The 21775-nt window shown below is 44.6% G+C and overlaps 1 long non-coding RNA gene across 1 annotated transcript in view, besides 9 other annotated features; it reads right to left on the reverse strand.

Annotated features, from left to right (window-relative positions):
* LINC01599 (long intergenic non-protein coding RNA 1599) overlaps positions 1-21775 on the reverse strand; it is a 97731-nt gene that overhangs the window by 65752 nt on the left and 10204 nt on the right. Inside the window, exon 2 of the long non-coding RNA NR_131171.1 lies at positions 16057-16131. This is a non-coding gene — a long non-coding RNA (long intergenic non-protein coding RNA 1599). The remainder of the gene's footprint in view (positions 1-16056; positions 16132-21775) is intronic.
* Positions 1378-1923: an enhancer, noted in NCBI's record as "NANOG-H3K27ac hESC enhancer chr14:50541160-50541705 (GRCh37/hg19 assembly coordinates)". NCBI's record gives its function as "activates a minimal SCP1, AML or CMV promoter by ChIP-STARR-seq in naive H9 embryonic stem cells {active_cell/tissue: H9 hESC(naive)}" and the evidence as "EXISTENCE:reporter gene assay evidence [ECO:0000049][PMID:30033119]".
* Positions 9796-9855: an enhancer, noted in NCBI's record as "active region_8346". NCBI's record gives its function as "activates an Ori minimal core promoter by ATAC-STARR-seq in GM12878 lymphoblastoid cells {active_cell/tissue: GM12878}" and the evidence as "EXISTENCE:reporter gene assay evidence [ECO:0000049][PMID:35858748]".
* Positions 9896-9945: an enhancer, noted in NCBI's record as "active region_8347". NCBI's record gives its function as "activates an Ori minimal core promoter by ATAC-STARR-seq in GM12878 lymphoblastoid cells {active_cell/tissue: GM12878}" and the evidence as "EXISTENCE:reporter gene assay evidence [ECO:0000049][PMID:35858748]".
* Positions 10076-10195: an enhancer, noted in NCBI's record as "active region_8348". NCBI's record gives its function as "activates an Ori minimal core promoter by ATAC-STARR-seq in GM12878 lymphoblastoid cells {active_cell/tissue: GM12878}" and the evidence as "EXISTENCE:reporter gene assay evidence [ECO:0000049][PMID:35858748]".
* Positions 10466-10535: an enhancer, noted in NCBI's record as "active region_8349". NCBI's record gives its function as "activates an Ori minimal core promoter by ATAC-STARR-seq in GM12878 lymphoblastoid cells {active_cell/tissue: GM12878}" and the evidence as "EXISTENCE:reporter gene assay evidence [ECO:0000049][PMID:35858748]".
* Positions 10868-11374: an enhancer, noted in NCBI's record as "H3K4me1 hESC enhancer chr14:50550650-50551156 (GRCh37/hg19 assembly coordinates)". NCBI's record gives its function as "activates a minimal SCP1, AML or CMV promoter by ChIP-STARR-seq in naive and primed H9 embryonic stem cells {active_cell/tissue: H9 hESC(naive and primed)}" and the evidence as "EXISTENCE:reporter gene assay evidence [ECO:0000049][PMID:30033119]".
* Positions 12368-12417: an enhancer, noted in NCBI's record as "active region_8350". NCBI's record gives its function as "activates an Ori minimal core promoter by ATAC-STARR-seq in GM12878 lymphoblastoid cells {active_cell/tissue: GM12878}" and the evidence as "EXISTENCE:reporter gene assay evidence [ECO:0000049][PMID:35858748]".
* Positions 12458-12617: an enhancer, noted in NCBI's record as "active region_8351". NCBI's record gives its function as "activates an Ori minimal core promoter by ATAC-STARR-seq in GM12878 lymphoblastoid cells {active_cell/tissue: GM12878}" and the evidence as "EXISTENCE:reporter gene assay evidence [ECO:0000049][PMID:35858748]".
* Positions 13148-13197: an enhancer, noted in NCBI's record as "active region_8352". NCBI's record gives its function as "activates an Ori minimal core promoter by ATAC-STARR-seq in GM12878 lymphoblastoid cells {active_cell/tissue: GM12878}" and the evidence as "EXISTENCE:reporter gene assay evidence [ECO:0000049][PMID:35858748]".

Raw genomic sequence — 21775 nt, forward strand, 5'->3', positions numbered from 1 at the left:
CAGACTGACACCTTATATGGCTGGGTACCCCTCTGAGACAAAACTTCCAGAGGAACGATCAGACAGCAACATTTGCTGTTCGGCAATATTCGCTGTTCTGAAGCCTCCGCTGCTGATACCCAGGCAAACAGGTTCTGGAGTGGACCTCCAGCAAACTCCAACAGACCTGCAGCTGAGGGTTCCGAAGGAAAACTAACAAACAGAAAGGACATCCACACAAAAGCCCTATCAGTACATCACCATCATCAAAGACCAAAGGTAGATACAACCACAAAGACGGGAAAAAAACAGCAGGAAAAACTTAAAATTCTAAAAATCAGAGCGCCTCTCCTCCTCCAAAGGAACGCAGCTCCCCCCTTTTTTTTTGAGAGGTTGGAGGGTGTACTGATTCTACAGATGGTGAAGGCTTCAGATTCCGAAGAATCTGAAGGCTTTTGGTGAACACCACTGATGCATTCAAGAAAGCTAATGAAAGGTTGGAGGCGTTTAGCCACCAATTGAGGTCATGTGTGAAAATCAGAAGGCCTTGTGCTGTTTAAAGCCACCACATTTGTGGTATCTGTTATGCAGCACTAGAAAACTAAGAGAGATGTGGCTACCCAGAAGTGGGATGCTATAACAAATATCTAAAAATGTGGGAATGACTTTGGAATTACACAGTGAGTGAAGGCTGGAAGAATTTTGAGGAGCTTGATAGAAAAAGCCTAGATTTCCTTAAGCAGACCTTTCTTAGAAATATGGATACCGGATATGAAGCGGAGCCGCTGCCGCGACCGACCGCAGCTGCCGCCGCCCGACCGCCGGGAGGATGGAGTTCAGCGGGCAGCGGAGCTGTCTCAGTCTTTGCCGCCCCGCCGGCGAGCGCCGCCCGGGAGGCAGCGGCTGGAGGAGCGGACGGACCCCGCGGGGCCCGAGGGCAAGGAGCAGCCGCCTGCCTTGGCCTCCCAAAGTGCCGAGATTGCAGGCTCTGCCCGGCCGCCACCCCGTCTGGGAAGTGAGGAGTGTCTCTGCCTGGCCACCCATCGTCTGGGATGTGAGGAGCCCCTCTGCCTGGCTGCCCAGTCTGGAAAGTGAGGAGCGTCTCCGCCCGGCCGCCATCCCATCTAGGAAGTGAGGAGCGCCTCTTCCCAGCCGCCATCACATCTAGGAAGTGAGGAGCGTCTCTGCCCGGCCGCCCATCGTCTGAGATGTGGGGAGCGCCTCTGCCCCGCCGCCCCATCTGGGATGTGAGGAGCGCCTCTGCCCGGCCGAGACCCCGTCTGAGATGTGGGGAGCGCCTCTGCCCCGCCGCCCCATCTGGGAAGTGAGGAGCCCCTCTGCCCGGCCACCACCCCGTCTGGGAGGTGTGCCCAACAGCTCATTGAGAACGGGCCAGGATGACAATGGCGGCTTTGTGGAATAGAAAGGCGGGAAAGGTGGGGAAAAGATTGAGAAATCGGATGGTTGCCGTGTCTGTGTAGAAAGTAGAAGACATGGGAGACTTTTCATTTTGTTCTGCACTAAGAAAAATTCCTCTGCCTTGGGATCCTGTTGATCTGTGACCTTACCCCCAACCCTGTGCTCTCTGAAACATGTGCTGTGTCCACTCAGGGTTAAATGGATTAAGGGCGGTGCAAGATGTGCTTTGTTAAACAGATGCTTGAAAGCAGCATGCTCGTTAAGAGTCATCGCCAATCCCTAATCTCAAGTAATCAGGGACACAAACACTGCGGAAGGCCGCAGGGTCCTCTGCCTAGGAAAACCAGAGACCTTTGTTCACTTGTTTATCTGCTGACCTTCCCTCCACTATTGTCCCATGACCCTGCCAAATCCCCCTCTGTGAGAAACACCCAAGAATTATCAATAAAAAAATAAATTTAAAAAAAAAAAAAAAAAAAAAGGAACGCAGCTCCTCACCAGCAATGGAACAAAGCTGGACGGAGAATGACTTTGATGAGTTGAGAGAAGAAGGCTTCAGATGATCAAACTTCTCTGAGCTAAAGGAGGAAGTTCGAACCCATCGCAAAGAAGTTAAAAACCTTGAAAAAAGATTAGACGAATGGCTAACTAGAATAACCAGTGTAGAGAAGGCCTTAAATGACCTGATGGAGCCGAAAACCATGGCACGAGAACTACGTGACGAATGCACAAGCTTCCGTAGCTGATTCGATCAAATGGAAGAAAGGGTATCAGTGACTGAAGATCAAATGAATGAAATGAAGCGAGAAGAGAAGTTTAGAGAAAAAGGAATAAAAAGAAATGAACAAATCCTCCAAGAAATATGGGACGATGTGAAAAGACCAAATCTACATCTGATTGGTGTACCTGAAAGTGACGGGGAGAATGGAACCAAGTTGGAAAACACTCTGCAGGATATTATCCAGGAGAGCTTCCCCAACCTAGCAAGGCAGGCCAACATTCAAATCCAGGGAATTCAGAGAAGGCCACAAAGATACTCCTTGAGAAGAGCAACTCAAAGACACATAATTGTCAGATTCACTAAAGTTGAAATGAAGGAAAAAATGTTAAGGGCAGCCAGAGAGAAAGGTCGGGTTACCCACAAAGGGAAGCCCATCAGACTAACAGCTGATCTCTCTACAGCCAGAAACCCTACAAGCCAGAAGAGAGTGGGGGCCAATATTCAACATTCTTAAAGAAAAGAATTTTCAACCCAGAATTTCATATCCAGCCAAACTAAGCTTCATAAGTGAAGGAGAAATAAAATCCTTTACAGACAAGCAAATGCTGCGAGATTTTGTCACCACCAGGCCTGCCCTACAAGAGCTCCTGAAGGAAGCACTAAACATGGAAAGGAACAACCTGTACCAGCCACTGGAAAAACATGCCAAGTTGTAAAGACCGTTGAGGCTAGGAAGAAACTGCATCAACTAATGAGCAAAATAACCAGCTAACATCATAATGACAGCATCAAATTCACACAAAACAATATTAACCTTAAATGTAAGTGGGCTAAATGCTCCAGTTAAAAGACACAGACTGGCAAATTGGATAGTCAAGACCCATCAGTGTGCTATATTCAGGAAACCCATCTCATGTGCAGAGACACACATAGGCTCAAAATAAAGGGATGGAGGAAGATCTACCAAGCAAATGGAAAACAAAAAAAGGCAGGGGTTGCAATCCTAGTCTCTGATAAAACAGACTTTAAACCAACAAAGATCAAAAGAGACAAAAAAGGCCATTACATAATGGTAAAGGGATCAATTCAACAAGAAGAGCTAACTATCCTAAATATATATGCACCCAATACAGGAGCACCCAGATTCATAAAGCAAGTCCTTAGAGACCTACAAAGAGACTTAGACTCCCACACAATAATAATGGGAGACTTTAACACCCCACTGTCAACATTAGACAGATCAACGACACAGAAAGTTAACAAGGATAACCAGGAATTGAACTCAGCTGTGGACCAAGCAGACCCAATAGACATCTACAGAACTCTCCACCCCAAATCAACAGAATATACATTCTTCTTAGCACCACATCGCACTTATTCCAAAATTGACCACATAGTTGGAAGTAAAGCACTCATCAGCAAATGTAAAAGAACAGAAATTATAACAAACTGTCTCTCAGACCACAGTGCAATCAAACTAGAACTCAGGATTAGGAAACTCACCCAAAACTGCTCAACCACATGGAAACTGAACAACCTGCTCCTGAATGACTACTGGGTACATAACGAAATGAAGGCAGACATAAAGATGTTATTTGAAACCAATGAGAACAAAGACACAACATACCAGAATCTCTGGGACACATTTAAAGCAGTGTGTAGAGGGAAATTTATAGCACTAAATGCCCACAAGAGAAAGCAGGAAAGATCTAAACTTAACACCCTAACATCACAATTCAAAGAACTAGAGAAGCAAGAGCAAACACATTCAAAAGCTAGCAGAAGGCAAGAAATAACTAAGATCAGAGCAGAACTGAAGGAGATAGAGACACAAAAAACCCTTCAAAAAATCAATGAATCCAGGAGCTGGTTTTTTGAAAAGATCAACAAAATTGATAGACCACTAGCAAGACTAATAAAGAGGAAAAGAGAGAAGAATCAAATAGATGCAATAAAAAATGATGAAGGGGATATCACCACCGATCCCACAGAAATACAAACTACCATCAGAGAATACTATAAACACCTCTATGCAAATAAACTAGAAAACTAGAAGAAATGGATAAATTCCTCAACACATACACCATCCCAAGACTAAACCAGGAAGAAGTTGAATCTCTGAATAGACCAATAACAGGCTCTGAAATTGAGGCAATAATTAATAGCTTACCAACCCAAAAAAGTCCAGGACCAGATGGATTCACAGCCGAATTCTACCAGAGGTACAAGGAGGAGCTGGTACCATTCCTTCTGAAACTATTCCAATCAATAGAAAAAGAGGGAATCCTCCCTAACTCATTTTATGAGGCCAGCATCATCCTGATACCAAAGCCTGGCAGAGACACAACAAAAAAAGAGAATTTTAGACCAATATCCCTGATGAACATTGATGCAAAAATCCTCAATAAAATACTGGCAAACTGAATCCAGCAGCACATCAAAAAGCTTATTCAGCATGATCAAGTGGGCTTCATCCCTGGGATGCAAGGCTGGTTCAACATGTGCAAATCAATAAACGTAATCCAGCATATAAACAGAACCAAAGACAAAAACCACATGATTATCTCAATAGATGCAGAAAAGGCCTTTGACAAAATTCAACAGCCCTTCATGCTAAAAACTCTCAATAAATTAGGTATTGATGGGACGTATCTCAAAATAATAAGAGCTACTTATGACAAACCCACAGCCAATATCATACTGAATGGGCAAAAACTGGAAGCATTCCCTTTGAAAACTGGCACAAGACAGGGATGCCCTCTCTCACCGCTCCTGTTCAACATAGTGTTGGAAGTTCTGGCCAGGGCAATCAGACAAGAGAAAGAAATAAAGGTTATTCAATTAGGAAAAGAGGAAGTCAAATTGTCCGTGTTTGCAGATGACATGATTGTATATCTAGAAAACCACATCGTCTCAGCCCAAAATCTCCTTAAGCTGATAAACAACTTCAGCAAAGTCTCAGGATACAAAATCAATGTGCAAAAATCACAAGCATTCTTATACACCAATAACAGACAAACAGAGAGCCAAATCACGAGTGAACTCCCATTCACAATTACTTTAAAGAGAATAAAATACCTAGGAATCCAACTTACAAGGGATGTGAAGGACCTCTTCAAGGAGAACTACAAACCACTGCTCAATGAAATAAAAGAGGATACAAACAAATGGAAGAACATTCCATGCTCATGGATCGGAAGAATCAATATCGTGAAAATGGCCATACTCCCCAAGGTAATTTATAGATTCAATGCCATCCCCATCAAGCTACCAATGACTTTCTTCATAGAATTGGAAAAAACTACTTTAAAGTTCATATGGAACCAAAAAAGAGCCCGCATTGCCAAGTCAATCCTAAGCCAAAAGAACAAAGCTGGAGGCATCACGCTACCTGACTTCAAACTATACTGCAAGGCTACAGTAACCAAAACAGCATGGTACTGGTACCAAAAGAGAGATACAGACCAATGGAACAGAACAGAGCCCTCAGAAATAATACCACACATCTATGACTATCTGATCTTTGACAAACCTGACAAAAACAAGAAATGGGGAAAGGATTCCCTATTTAACAAATGGTGCTGGGAAAACTGGCTTGCCATATGTAGAAAGCTGAAACTGGATCCCTTCCTTACACCTTATACAAAAATTAATTCAAGATGGATTAAAGACTTAAGTGTTAGACCTAAAAACATAAAAACCCTAGAAGAAAACCTAGGCAATACCATTCAGGACATAGGCATGGGCAAGGACTTCATGTCTAAGACACCAAAAGCAATGGCAACAAAAGCCAAAATTGACAAATGGGATCTAATTAAACTAAAGAGCTTCTGCACAGCAAAAGAAACTACCATCACAGTGAACAGGCAACCTACAGAATGGGAGAAAATTTTTTCAATCTCCCCGTCTGACAAAGGGCTAATATCCAGAATCTACAAAGAACTCAAACAAATTTACAAGAAAAAAACAAGCAACCCCATCAACAAGTGGGCGAAGGATATGAACAGACACTTCTCAAAAGAAGACATTTATGCAGCCAACAGACACATGAAACAATGCTCATCATCACTGGCCATCAGAGAAATGCAAATCAAAACCACAATGAGATACCATCTCATACCAGTTAGAATGGCAATCATTAAAAAGTCAGGAAACAACAGGTGCTGGAGAGGATGTGGAGAAACAGGAGCACTTTTACACTGTTGGTGGGACTGCAAACTATTTCAACCATTGTGGAAGACAGTGTGGTGATTCCTCAGGGATCTAGAACTAGAAATACCATTTGACCCAGCCATCCCATTACTGGGTATATACCCAAAGTATTATAAATCATGCTGCTATAAAGACCCATGCACATGTATGTTTACTGTGGCACTATTCACAATAGCAAAGACTTGGAACCAACCCAAATGTCCAACAATGATAGACTGGATTAAGAAAATGTGGCACATATACACCATGGAATACTACGCAGCCATAAAAAATGATGAGTTCATGTCCTTTGTAGGGACATGGATGAAGCTGGAAACCATCATTCTCAGCAAACTATCCCAAGGACAAAAAACCAAACACCGCATGTTCTCACTCATAGGTGGGAACTGAACAATGAGAACACATGGACACAGGAAGGGGAACATCACACACTGGGGCCTGTTGTGGGGTTGGGGGAGGGGGGAGGGATAGCATTAGGAGATATACCTAATGTAAATGATGAGTTAATGGGTGCAGTACACCAACATGGCACACGTATACATAGGTAACAAGCCTGCACGTTGTGCACATGTACCCTAGAACTTAAGGTAAAATTAAAATATAAAAAAAAAAAAAAGAAAAGAAAATTCCTTCTCACTGAGAGCAAATTGGTGCAACCTCTTTGTGGCATATGCAAATATCAATTAAAATTTAGAATACAAATATTCTTTGACCTAACGATTCCAATTCTAGGATTTTTTTTCATAAATAATAACGAAACCAGTCCAAGACAAAAACACACGTGTGTAAATATTTATTTCAGCATTATCTGTAAGATGAGACCCAATAGAAATATTCTTTTTTTTTTCTTTTGAGATGGAGTCTTGCTCTGTCACCCAGGCTGGAGTGCAGTGGCGTGATCTCTGCTAACTGCAACCTCTGCATCCCAGGTTCAAGCAATTCTCCTGCTGCAGCCTCTCAAATAATTGGGATTATGGGCACCTGCCACCACACCCGGGTAATTTTTATATTTTTAGTACAGACAGGGTTTCACCATGTTGGCCAGGCTGGTCTTGAACTCCTGACCTCAGGTGATCTGCCTGCCTCAGCCTCCCATAGTGCTGGGATTACAGGCGTGAGCCACTGCACCTGGCCTAAAATATTCTTTAATATATGATAAATTTGTATACATCCAGGCCAGGTGCGGTGGATCACCTGAGGCGGGCAGATCACCTGAGGTCAGGAGTTCAAGCCCAGCCTGGCCAACATGGCGAAACCCTGTCTCTAATAAAAATACAAAAAAAAAAAAAAAAAAATAGCCCTGCATGGTGGCAGTTACCTTGTAATCCCAGCTACTTGGGAGGCTAAGGCAGGAGAATTGCTTGAACCCGGGAGGCAGAGGTTGCAGTGAGCCAAGATGGCTCCATTGCACTCCAGCTCTGGGCAAAAGAGTGAGACTCTGTCTCAAAAACAAACAACAACAACAAAAAACCTATTAATACTAAGCCTGGTGCTGGCTCCTTATGCCATTTATGGCCTAAAGAGCAGTGCTAGTTCCTGCTTTTCTTCCAGCAGCCATAAAGTAAGGGCTGAGCACTGGAGATTAGAAAATAAAAGATCCCACCCATGTTTCTGCAGAATTTCCAGACCAACAGTATGGTAGGGGTAGACTAGGGTGTTAAGCACCAAGAGGATTCAGCTGCATACACTTAACCTTGGCATAGTAATGTGATGAAATGCACACGTGCACAGGGAATGTTTAATAGTTCTTAGTCTCATAGGTTTGGTACCTGGACTCTCTCAAAAGGGTAGAGAATGGCTCTGAAGCCAGAATCAGAGATTTGGTCCCAATGCTGCTGTTTACTAGCTATTTGACCATGAATAAGCTACTCTTTGGTCTCAGTGTTCTTATCTGTAAATGGGATAATTCTAGCACCTATCTCCTAAGGTTGTTGTGAAGATTAAACAAATAAGTAAAATACATACCAAACGCTTGACCAATGCTAGACATTGCTATATATTTAAAAGCTATTCTATTTCAGAAAGAGAAAACAGTCCTATTTCCGCACAGCTGTGGCTCAAGCCTGTAATCCCAGCACTTTGGGAGGCCAAGGCAGGCAGATCACGAGGTCAGGAGATCAAGACCATCCTGGCCAACATGGTGAAACCCTGTCTCCACTAAAAATACAAAAATTAGCTGGGTATGGTGGCATATACCTGTAGTCCCAGCTACTTAGGAGGCTGAGGCAGGAGAATCGCTTGAACCTGGGAGGCAGAGTTTGCAATGAGCTGAGATCACACCACTGCACTCCAGCCTGGGTGACAGAGCGAGACTCTGTCTCAAAAAGAAAAAAAAAAAAAGAGCTTCAGAACTCTCACTCTTCCTCCTCTCTCCAAACACCCTGAGGCTATGAATTAAAATAACAGTCATGATCTTTGTCTCTGAAATTCTACAGAGGAGGAGTTTTCCTAAGCAGTGTTGTCTACTGCAACGCAAATTTTCTTGAACTATTCATTTTATCTCAAAATCATTTCTGAATCCCGCGGTCATTAATTTCAAATCCAGACTTGCCTTTGTATGTAATTCTATGTAGTATTTTCATTCATTTACAAAAGTTCGGGGGCCCACCGTGATGGCGCCGGTGGTCTCTGAAAAGATCCAACCAAGCACTTGGTCTAGTGTGCAGGAACTCCCATCTGCTGCTGCGTAAATAACTCGCAGCGGAGTTTCTAGGCTAAAAGCACAGCAGTTTCCCTACTGTGTAGGCATGATACAGGATTCCCGAACAGGAGGCCGTCGTGTGATCCAGAGCAAGCCCTCACTTGTCTGGAGCTCAGCTTCATCAGCTCTAAAACAAAGGGATTGAATTAAATGGCCTATTTTGTCCTTTCCAATTAAAAAGACTCTAAATATATAAGAACCCTGTCTCAGGAAGCTGAGCTCTTTCTTATACTATGCTGAAACAGCTCCCCCCGCCCACCCCAACCTTGCCACCATGCACTCAAGCACACAGAACCCGTGAAATAATAACAGCTCCCACTTACTGAGTGCAAAGTGCCGAGGGCTTTATATACGTCATTGCAATTAATCTTCACAGTAAATCTGTGAGGTTGCTACTAATTCTTCAGATGCCCAGAGAAGTCAAACTGAAGGCCTAAGTGGGAGCCTTGCTTCTTCTTTGTTAGACAGGAACCTGGCCGGATTTTTTGTGTTTGTTTGTTGGAGATAGGGTCTCGCTCTGTCGCCCAGGCTGGAGTGCACACTGCAGACTTGATCTCCTGAGCTCAAGCGATCCTCCTGCCTCAGCTTCCTGAGTACTGTAACTACAGGCCTGCACCACCATGCCCTGCTAATTTTTTACTTTTTGTAGAGACAGAGGCTCGCTATGTTGTCCAGGCTGGTCTTGAATTCCTGGGCTCAAGCAATCCTCCCGCCTTGGCCCCTAAAAGTGCTGGGATTACAGGCAGGAGCCACTGCACTGGGCCCTAGCCTAGATTATTAAAGTACCTGCTGGCTCTGTAACATCCTATAAATCTAGCTTCGTGGTCTTCTTCAGCTTTCCAAGTCAGCTACACCGGGGATGGGGGTCCAGGAACGTGGGATTCTTCCTGACGTGCAAGATGTGCAGTGATGTGCACCATCATCCTTGGATTCTACTTTTTGAATATGTTTTTTTTAGCCATGCTGGTTTTATTCATATAAAGCAGCACCCAAAGTGTTCTCCTGGAGCCTTTAAGAGCGTCCAGGACAAGCAGAGCTTCTGCACACTTGATTCCAAACCTCCTCCTTGCTCTCAAAAGGCCAGACACCTCCAGAGTTTCTCTCAGGAGAGAGACTGAGCGGAGTTCCCCTCCTGTGGGTGTTTGGCTTGCATCAGGCCGCTGAGTGAGGCCGAACCACAGCAGAGTGATGTCACCTCACTTTCAGGTCTGCTTTCAAAGCACATATTAAAGTTTCTGATTCTACCACAGCCACACATTTTCTCAGTCTTCATCTTCCATCCCTGCCTTAAGCATTTCAGTCTATCCAGCCAATCTCTCTCTGTCTTTCTCTCTCTCGCTCATACACACATGCTCATATATACACTCATACTCTCATTCATCTTATATTTCATAGTTCAAAATAAACATCAAAATTAAGGCTGTTCCCGTGACAAGAAAGTATATACAAAGAAGTGAGAGGCTGATTCATAAAACCGCCCGCATTCAGGGCTCTTTGGAACCATCCTCCTCTTTACAGGGCTGAGGGCTGCAATAAATAGAGCTCATCAGAGACTCAGACATACTCAGAATAAGAAGTGCACACATTTAATAGAGCAGCTGTGTTGGTCTGCGTTCCTGGAGGGGTGTGGGAGGAGACTGGCATCCATTCGCTGCTCTGGAAAGGCTGTGCCAACAGCACCAAAAGGACCAAGGAAGTACCCGGTGCCGTGGGCGGCACCCACCAGGCATGAGGTCCACCAACTGGACCAGTCTCCTCGCCCACCCACTGGCCACGGCCACCAAGGGGCTGGCCACCAACACCGCACCCACCTGTGGGGCCTCCAGCCTCTTGGAGGCGAGGTGGGGCTGTGTGGGGGACTCCCCAAAACCCTCCCACCAGAACATCCAGGAGTGACTCAGTCTGGTGCGAGTCTGGAGTGGGAGGGGCAGGACCCATCCTGGGCAACCTGCAACTCCTCGGGGAGAAGGACACCAAGACTTCGAGGCCATTGGAGGCCACCTCCCCACAGGAAGGAAGCGCCTAGGCCTCCATGTCCTTAAGGAGAAAAATCCTGCCATCCAGGAAAAGGAGGCACCACTTTACTTCCCACTGGGCCTTCACTTCCTGTGGGATCTCTGGATGGTATTTAGCAAACAGAAATACAGAACACTCAGTTACATCTGAATTTCAGATAATCGGCAAATCCTGTTTCTATGTAAATATGTCCCACATACTGCATGGGGTACATTTAAGACTAAAACATTATTTGTTACTTATCTGAAATTTAAATATAACTGGGCATCTTGTTTTTATCTGGCAATTCTGCCTTCCTTATGGTCTTCCCTCTGGCCAGGCCTTCCCAGGTGAGAGTTAATTCTATGTGCTCTCAAGCAGAAATTTGTTCAGTTCAGATTCTCCTGGGATTCCTGGTGAAAAGGCAAAGATCTCAGGCCACATCTGTTGAATAATATCTCTGGGGGTGCGACCCAGAATACACATTTTATTAAGTTGTTATCTAAGTGGTTCTGATATACATTTGTATTAGTTATCTATTGCTTCTGAACAAATTACCCTAAAAATCAGGCTGAAAACCACCAATATTTATCACCTTGTAGTTTATATGGGTGAGGACTTTGGGACTGACTTGGCCTTATGATCCTGGCTCGTGGTCTTTCATGGCGCTGCAGTCAAGATGTTTGTCATCTCAAGCCTTCGCTGGTGCTAGGGAGTCTGCTTCCAAGCTCACCTAACTGGCCCTCAGCAGGCCTTGGGTCCTGGAAACATCAGTTCCTCACCACAGGGACCTGTCTATAGGGCTGCTCACAGCATGGCATCTGGCCTTTCCCAGGGTTAGAAAGGAGATGGAGGGATGGAGGGAGAAAGGGAAGGGGAGAGAGGGAGAGAAAGAGAGAAGTAGGGGGTGGAGGTGAAGCACAAACACAAAAGTGAGCCCTCAAGACAAATCTACTCAAGGGAAGAGGGAAGATAATTACCCAAGAGCATGAATGGCAAGAGGCGGGAATCCTGGGGGCTGTCTTAGAGGCTACCCACCACCATGTTCAAGTTTGGGAATTCCTGCTATAGATCGGTCCTCAACACACTGGAGCCAAGACCACATTGTAAACAATGGGATCCAGTGTATTTCTTTCCTTATTTTTCCTTGCTTCCACTCCTCCTCCCTGTCCACTTTTTGGTGATCTGAGACAATAACAATGAAGAACTATAAAGAAGTGAAGAAGAAAAAGAAATCAAAATAGCAATCTTAGGAGGTTAAGAGTAAATTTTAAAATGCTGGCAAATACTGTTTGGGTAGAATGAAACTATATGCAAATCCCATGCATATATAGCTGTGTCCTAAAATGTCTTAGCATTCAGTGTGGTTCTTGGAGAATCTCCTGTGAGTACTAATGAAAATACAGAAGTAGGGTGACCAATTATCTTAGTTTGACCAGGACTCTCCCATGTCTGGGCAGAACAATATGGTTGGTTACCTTTATAACAAGGAGCCAATAAGTCATTGCATCAGCCACTCTGCCCCCATCTAGAGACTGAGGGGGTCAGCCTCGTGATGGAGTGGAGAGGACACGGGTTTTGAGCTGCAGGCCCAGTATGTGCCTTTAGCTGTGGCCTTGAGCTATCTCATCTAGAAAACGGGAACCATGCATCTGCTTGGTAGAGCGTAAATGATACACAGGGGAGTGCCTTGTAAACTGAGAGGTGTCGTCTCGATTTTAAAAAGAACCCCTCCTGTCAAGGAAGGTGAGATCAAAAATATCACCCCTTTTCACTTTTGCGACCAAGTCTGACATTTTCTCTTTCACGTAGTCTGGCCATGCTGACTTCCTGGAGAGGTGAACACAGCCCACAAAAGCTGTGGGCTTTTACACTCGTTTAATTTTCATCTTAATTTGCCATTTAACCCCAAATTGATTTATACTATTCCCTCCAGAAAATGCTAATCTCCCCAAAAGAACAGTCATCTCTATTATATCCTCAGTGACAAGTTTCCCAGGAAATCTGTACCAAGTCCTGATGTAAAAGATGTGATTCATCTTTCACAGCTCTGGCGGTGTGACTCTCTCCTCTCAGGGAGAGAACTGTCCCCAGCAGCACTGTTTCCCTCACCCTCCTCCACTGCCATTCCTCAAGGTCTGGGAGTGAAAAAGTGAGTAATATTTAAATTCTGTTAAAGTGCTCATTCCCTCTCTTTTTTTTTTCTTCTGGGTTGTCTCATTCTGGGGAGTAAATGTGCAGGCCTGTACATTTATATGACCCAAAGTCTCTAATTCAAAATGGCAATACCATTTTGAATGAACTCTATTTTTCTTGAGATGGGTCAATTGCAAGAATAGCCATACTTCTCTTCTATAATGATTCTGTCCATCGTTCTCCTTCACCCACCCCGGGCCCTAGATGTGAGTCTCAGGCACCCTACAAAGACCTTGGACTGATGATAATGCAGAGGAAAGATGATCTCAGTCTGTTCTGTTCCCTGCCAGTTTGCAGCTATATGACCCTGGACCTCTCTTAGTCTCAATGGGGAGAAAGAGATCTGGCTGTCCCATGGCATCAGGTGGTTGTAAGGATGAAATAAACAAGATTAATATCAATGAAAGTCCTTTCAAAACCTTAGAGTACCATATAAATAAAAGGTAGTTAGTTTATTCATTAGAGTCCTTCCGTTGCCATACTTCAGATATCTTCCCAGCTGAGTATTCCATTAGAATTATTACTTGCTTTGGTTACTGGGTGAGAATTTCTGCTTACTGGCCTTGGCGGGTTTACCTAATAATTTAATTAAATTATTTAAATTTAAATTACTGGAGGTAATTTTAAAACTTTCACAAATCTGCTGCCTCATGCTTTTTGTTTTATAGTTTTAACACTTAAGAGGCTAATTTTTGGCTGGTCTGAGTGCATTGGTGTTTACAACTAATTGATCATAATCAGTTACAGATTTCTTTATTCATTCTCCACTCCCACTGCTTCACTTGACTAGCCTAAAAAAAAAAAAAAAAAAAAAAAAAAAAAAGGCTAAATTTTGCCCCTGCACTTTAGGCACACCATCATCAAGACCAGTTTACAAAGTATGTCCTTTCCCTGACATTCAAGATGGTGCGATTTCAGTTTACACAGAATTTAACTTTTAGTTTTATACCATTTCTATACAGATATGGAATTTTTTTTAAACCTACTTTTGCAATCAGCAGTTCTACCTCAATAAAATTGACTTTTAAAAAATGAGCCAGGCTTAGCTAATCTTAAACAAGTACCACAATTAAAGAGAAGATTATAAACACAGCTTCCCTCCCTGGTTCCTTTAGTTGCATGCAAGCTTGTAGTTAATATAAAAGTAAAACATTACCACCATGTCAAAAGAAAAGAGGAAACTTAAAAAAAAAAAAGGTTCACCTACCAGCCTGATACCACAAGTGGATAGACTGAAAATGAAACAAAGTGAATTGCTCCATTAACAACATTCTTCTTCTGAAAGAAAAAGGATGGGAGGGTTGGGTTCAAAGACTCAACCTTATCCTACAGTGCTTTTTCATCTTTCCAGGGCATGTGGTGAGTGGGAGTTAAGGTCAGTACCTTGCATAAGATTTCTCAGCCAATTCTTGATGGAGCTAGGCAAAAATGTTGTGATGGTTAATTTTACATGTCAATTTGGCTGGGCCAAAGTGCCCAGATATTTGGTCAAACATTATTGTGGGTGTTCCTGGTGAGGGTGTTTTTAGATGACATTGACATTTAAATTGGTTGACTTTCAGTAAAGCAGATGGCCCTCCATAACGTCTGATAAGCCTCACCAATCATGTGAAGGCCTGAATGGAACAGAAGGCTGGCCTCTCCTGAGCAAGAAGGAGTCTGCTAGCAAGCAGCCTTCAGACCTCAACTGCAACATTAGCTCTTTACTGGGTCTTTAGCTGCTGGCCCACCCTGTAAATATTGGACTGACCAGCCTCCATCACATGAGCCAATTCCTGAAAACCAATCTCTCTCTCTCTATGCACATCCTATTGTTTCTGTTTCTTTGGAGAACCCTGACTAGCAGAGATGTAAGGCAAGAAGAACTTTAAACAGCAGGATAAGAGTCTGAGCCATTTCCCTCCTCCACAGTAAATTCACTCACACACACACATGATTTTTAAGCTGAGATAGGAGCGTTGATTATTTCAAGGACATTGACTAGTGGAGTGGCTGTCAGAAGTTTGCAGCTCTGCCCTGCTGGGAGTCAAAAGGCTGGGTTGAGTCCCCTTCCCACAGCTTACTGGCTGGGGGGCCCCAGCTGAGTCATTTAACTTCTCTCAGCCTCGGTTTCCTCATCTGACAAAATAGAAAGCTCTTTGTAAACACTGCTATAGAGTGTCTGATATTATTTTTACTTACCATATTTCTTAAAGCAATGATAATAGCTAACATTAGAGGACTTTATACGTGCCAGGCTTTGTGCCAAGAAGATATATTATCTCATTTAATCTGTCCAACAACCCCATGATGTGCGTAGTACCATGTCTCCACTTTACAAATGAAGAAACTGAGGCAGAGAGTTGAGCTGCCTGCCGAGGTCACATTGCCGGGATGCAGCAGAGCTGGGATCTACACCTGGCCTATCAGAACTAGGGAACATTCTCCCTAATGATTACCTCTGTAACTGCAGATGGTTATTTAACCACTTTAAGTTCTGATATTCTTGTATGTGCCATGGGATACCTGCCCATCTCCTAGGCCTGTTGTGAGAATTCAGGGAATGACATTTGGGAGTGACATCTAGCACACTGCGTGGTGTGCACTCAAAGGGTGTGAGAAGAATTTCTATTATAGGCACTTGTTATGTACTGAATGTTTGTGGCCTCCCCAAATTCCGATGTTGAAATCCTAACCTCCAATGTAATGGTATTAGGAGGCAGGGCCTTTGGGAGGTGACTGGGTTATGAGGGTGGCAGGCTCATGAATGGTATTAGTGCCCTTATAAAAAGACACAAGAGCTTGCTCTCTCTTTTCTCTCTGCCAAGTGAGGACACAGCAAGAAGACACCCACCTGCAAACCAGGAATAGGGTCCACACTAGACGCCAGATGCAGGCACCTTGATCTTGGACTGTCCAGCCTCGAGAACTGTGAAAAAATTAAACAACAAAATTTCTATTGTCTAAGCCAGCAGTCCCCAACCTTTTTGACACCAGGGACTCATTTTGTGGAAGACAATTTGTCCACGGACCAGTGGTGGGAGGCATTAAAGTCTCATAAGGAGCACACAAGCTCCATCCCTCACATGACAGTTCACAGCAGGGTTTGCGCTCCTGTGAGAATCTGACGCCGCTGCTTATCTGGCAGGATGTGGGGCTCACTGGAGTGCTGCTCATCTCCTGCTCTGCACCTCAGGTCCTAACAGGCCATGGACCAGTAGCAGTCCACGGCCCAAGGACTGGGGACCCCTGGTCTAAGCCACCAGTCTGCAGTATATGTGTTATAGCTGCCTGGGTTAAGACAATGTCCCATGTCCCAAAACACCAGTCCCTTCACAGGAGATAATTTAATCCCATGTGCTAATAGGGGAAGCAGCCAGGTTTGCTGGAAATTAATGACTACTCTGCCATAGTTAACAAAACCTTGTTTTAAGAAATATTTTTCTTGAAAAGAGTAGATGAATTTGAACAAATGTTTAATGTTAAGTCTTTTGTTAAGCAAATACCTTCTTCTTGAATATATTTATGATTAGTTTATTTATACAGTCTAAACTACTCTATAACTCAGTTTTTGACATATCAAATAATCCTTAAAATGCTGATGAAATATATTTCATACTTTTAATTTTTAAATTTTATTTATTTATTTGAGACAGAGTCTCTCTCTGTTGCCCAGGTTGGAGTTCAGTGGCGTGATCTTGGCTCACTGTAACCTTTGCCTCCCAGGTTCAAGAAATTCTTGTGCCTCAGCCTCCTGAGTAGCTGGGATTACAGGCATATGCCACCACACCCGGCTAATAACTCATACTTTTAAAATATAGCTGTAAGATGAATTTATTAGTTTGTTGGGGCTGCCATAACAAAGTATCACAGACTATGTGAACCAAAATCTAACTGTGCCTCTCCCATCTTCTAAGAATATCACACTGGTACCTGAGAGAGGAGAGCACACAAAGCCAGGAGCACCTACTGAACCAGTAACAGCAAGTAGTTACTTAGCCAGAGAAGTACACCACGAGGGAAGGAGAGAGAACTTCAGAACTTGGGGAAGGCCAGATGGGCCTCAGGATCCTGATACATGGGGTGTGAGTGGGAGAGGGAAGAAAAGATGGCCCTAGAGATAATTCCTATTTCCCCAACTTTGCTCTCCTTTCCCCTCGTTTTCCCTTGACCTCCCCCAAACAGGCCACATGGCCCTCTCTGAGTCGCATATGCCACCCCCAATCATCCCAGCAATGGATCCTTGTCAACTTTGGCGCTTTAATGTCGGGGCTTACGTCCCTTCCTTCATTCAACAGTGAAAACCTGAGGACATTAGGGTGAGCCATTTTCTCTTTCACCTCTGTGTCCAAATTTAGCTACATCTCCTTCCATTCTCCCTTCCCTCCCCACCTTCACTTCCCTCCCTCTTCCTTTAGTCTTGCTGAAGAGGTGACTCTTTTTTTCAGGAATCAATCTGCCTGTGGTCAGCACGGTGCCTGGCCCATTCCTTCCCTCTAGGCTCTTCCACCCTTCGCTCCATCAATTATCCACCCGCTAGTCACCTCCGTTTATCTTCAACCACAACCTCCCTCCCCATGCACTTCTACAATCCTCTCAACCCAGTCTCTCTCCTGTTTCCTACCAAACTTTATGAAATAAGCTACTACTCTGACTTTCTCCACTCTTTTGCCCTGCTCTCCATTCATGTCTACTCATTTTTGTATTCCCTGTAGAACCTAGAACTCATATTGTAGGTGCTCAAGGAAAGACAGATTAATTATGGAACTGGATAATCAACTATTCCTGAGCAATAAGTGCAAGGATGGGGCAAGATGCAAAGAAGATGCTGTTCTTGTCTTCAAGGAGGAGGCCGTGGAATTTGTGAGTTAAAATAGACACACAAAAAAGTCGGTAGATCTACACTGTGAACAAACAGAACAAAGTCTTTAAATGGAGGCATCGGGAGAGAGGCCCCCGGGACTGCAGTAACAGCTTCCTGTCCCCCTAGTGCTTATGTGAGTGCAGATAAAGTCATAGGTAAATCCTAATAAGGTGCAAGGACCGACCCCTGAGCCACAGTTGGGACTTTTATAAAATGAATGCCCATGGTGAGTATCTGGGATCCTCCCTTGTTGAAGATGGACAGTGTCCCTGGAGGGAGGAAGCATCAGTGGACAAATGGTTCTGTGCCATGGACAGCTCAGCGCAGTGTGAATCAGTGTGGGGTACCCAGGGATTCCTGAGTATCTGAGTGATGGAAGCCGGAACCTGTTCCTGGCTTTCCTTGGCTGTGCACCCCATCTCTCCAGCTATAAAATGAGGGGTGATGCTCTGAAGACATGAAGTGTGAGCAGCAACCTCTGGGTGATTTTCCACATTCTCTGCCCACTGTCTTCCGTAATCTTCAGGGCTGTGCCCCTCCCGGCAGCAGCAGCACTTCCCTCTCTGAGCAGCGTTGGCAGCTGAGAGGACACTGGTGGGCTGTGACTGCTGAGCCTTCCCCTGAGGTTCGGGCTTGGAGGGAGCCCTGTCCCAGGGGCCAGGCTTGGTGAGAACTTGGCACCCTGGAAGCCCAAAGTCCCAGTGCTGCCTGATCCTCCACAGCAGAGCTTCTCACAGGCTAGGCTGCTTTCAATCAGGTCTTGGAGCTCCCACAGACCAAAATAGTATTTACAGCCTGCCTGGGAAGGTCTACAACCCTAAATTCTTCTAGGAATAATGAAATCAGAGTATTGAGCTGAGGAGTTGTTTCATTTGATAGGTTGAAGGAATTAAAGGAAACACATTTGCAAAACCAGGTCACTCCACTATGCTCCAGTAAGAAGAGTAATAATAATTGGTATCAAATATTGGCCTGTCCCAGGTTCTGTCCTGTAGTAGCCACTCCCTTCAGGAATTTGCTCCTCTACATAACAATGGGCAGCTGGTACCCAGAGCACCTGCCGCATGGCCTGGCCTGCCAGATGCAGATAAGGAGAGATGATGACTCCTTGTCTTGAGTCACCTTCTGTGAAGAGAAAGCATGAGAGGAAAAGATTGATAAGATCTCATCCAGGATCAGCTAGGGTCCGAAAGGAAGCCAGCCTGGGAGACCGAGGGGAGCGGATCCATAGTCCATCTCCACCCACTGCCATGCAGCAGGGGCTGAGGACCCTGCTCATGCAGAGATGCAGTAGATCTGCAGACAGCTGCTGTGAGCAAAGGTAGCTGGAAGTCCAGGTGCCCCATTTGTTCTTTTCAAATGTGGTACGCAGCTGAGAAGGGGAAAGAAGGAATAATCAAGCCATTTGTAAACCGTGAGAAATACCCACAGGAACTCACATTTCCATCCAGATTTCAAGTTGACGTTTGGCTCTGACATCCATCTTACTATTCGAGAACCCTAAGACCTCCATGGCTGAACATAACAAATGTCACCACCAGCCTGGGCATGGTGGCTCATGCATGTAATCCCAGCACTTTAGGAGGCTGAGGCAGGTGGATCACTTAAGGTCAGGGGTTCTAGACTAGCCTGGCCAACATGGCAAAACCCTGACTGTACTAAAAATACAAAAATCAGTCAGGTGTGGTGCCGCACACCTGTAATCCCAGCTACTCGGGAGGCTGAGGCACAAGAATCGCTTGAATCCAGGAGGCAGAGGTGGCAGTGAGCCGAGATCACACCACTGCACACCAGCCTGGGCGACAGAGGGGAAACTCTGTCTCAAAAAAAAAAAAAAAGTCACCACCACTATCATCATCCCTGTCTCACAGGTGAAAAAACAAACTCAGACTGAGGGACCTGCCTCAGAACTCACAGCCAGTCAGCAGCAGAGGCAGGAGTGCAGCCTTCTCCCTCTGGCTTCTGTTAGTCCAGAAAATCCCCACCAAGTGATGCTGAGATAAATCTTCAACCAGGAGAGGGACAGGGTGACCTGAGGGGGTCTGCATGGCCACGCTCCTAATCATAATCAATGATTGGCATGGATTGTTTGGAAAGATGGTAGCAAAATACTCTGGGGACTCATGGATGAATCAGAGTCAAGGGAAATGTCCTATGGTTGGGAAGTGTTTCTGGGGAGATTCACACACAAGCTCCTGACCAGGGGCAGCTGAACAGGCAAAACCCTGGGCTCTCTCTTTATAGAATCTCACGCTTCTTGCCAGGAACCTCAGGGGAGTATGAAAAATGATGGCTTTTGTTTTTGTTTTTGTTTTTTGTTGCAGAATAACAGTCACATTTTTCAAGGCTATCTGGAAAGTTACATCTGTCCTCTGGAGACACTAGTAAAAAAATAAAGTAATAGATTCCCCTCCAGCCTTTTACCAAGAATTACAAACCTACTAACAGCTTTCACCCTTTCTGTCTCTCTTTCCCTCTCTCTCTCTCTCTGTCTCACACACACACACCTACCTCTGCTCCTCTGCTCATATTTCACAGGGCTGGACAGAGATCGTCATCTAAATGCATAGCTCTGAATTGCTAAGTGGCAGGATTAGCTTGGATCCTATGTTATCCCTGATCACATTAAGCAGATCAATGAGGCAGAACTTCTGTCAGAATTTTTTTTCTTTTTCTTTTTTTTTTTTTCTTGAGATGGAATGTCACTCTGTTGCCCAGGCTGGTGTGCAGCAGCAAGATCTCGTCTCACTGCAAACTCTGCCTCCTGGGTTCAAGCAATTCTCCTGCTTTAACCTCCCGAGTAGCTGGGATTACAGGCGCACGCCACCATGCCTGGCTAATTTTTGTGTTTTTAGTACAGACAGGGTTTCACCATGTTGGCCAGTCTGGTCTGGAACTCTTGACCTCAAGCGATCCACCTGCCTCGGCCTTTCAAAATGCTGGGATTACATGCGTGAGCACCACGCCCAGCCGGCACTTCCATCAATTTTTGAGTCTGAAGCCCACCCACACGCAACCCCAACATTTAACCTGGTAAGCTGGTTAATTCTGCTACAACTGCAGCCAATCATCTGTCAATCATCAAAGCTGCCTTTAAGATCAACCTAGGACTCTACCGTGGGAACAGTAGATGTGGGGCAGGTATGTGTCCTATACTGGCCTCTGTCTTCACTTTCTGCCACCACACATAGGCAGTACCCAAGTGTCAGATTTTCCTGAAGGCTGGGTAACTGAAGGGAAATACAACAGAAAAGGAAAAAAATTGAAACTCCACTCTGAAAGTGACTTTCCCCATAATCCAAGAGAAAAGCAACAAGAAAACACCTTCAGTTTTAAAACTATTTTTTTTAAGCTAAGTTCGTGCTCTGTCGCCCAGGTTGGAGCACAGTGGCACGATCATAGCTGACTGCTGGCTCATCTCCTGGGCTCAAGCACTGCCCCCACCTCAGCCTGTCCAGTAGCTGGAACTTCAGGTATGTGCCACCACGCCAGGTTAATTTTTTGAAATTTATTTTTAGTAAAGACAAGGTCCCACTACATTATCCAGGCTGGTCTCAAATGATCCTCCTGCCTCGGCCTCCCAAAGTACTGGGATTACAACAAGCGTGAGTTACAACACCTGGTCAGATTTTTTTTTTTTTTTAAAGAAAGGCAAAATTTATTATTAGACTCAAAATATTCACAACCATTTTCTTTTTTTTTTATACTT

The sequence above is a fragment of the Homo sapiens genome, chromosome 14 (genome assembly GCF_000001405.40).
Source record: "Homo sapiens chromosome 14, GRCh38.p14 Primary Assembly".
NCBI classification, from domain to species: Eukaryota; Metazoa; Chordata; class Mammalia; order Primates; family Hominidae; genus Homo; species Homo sapiens.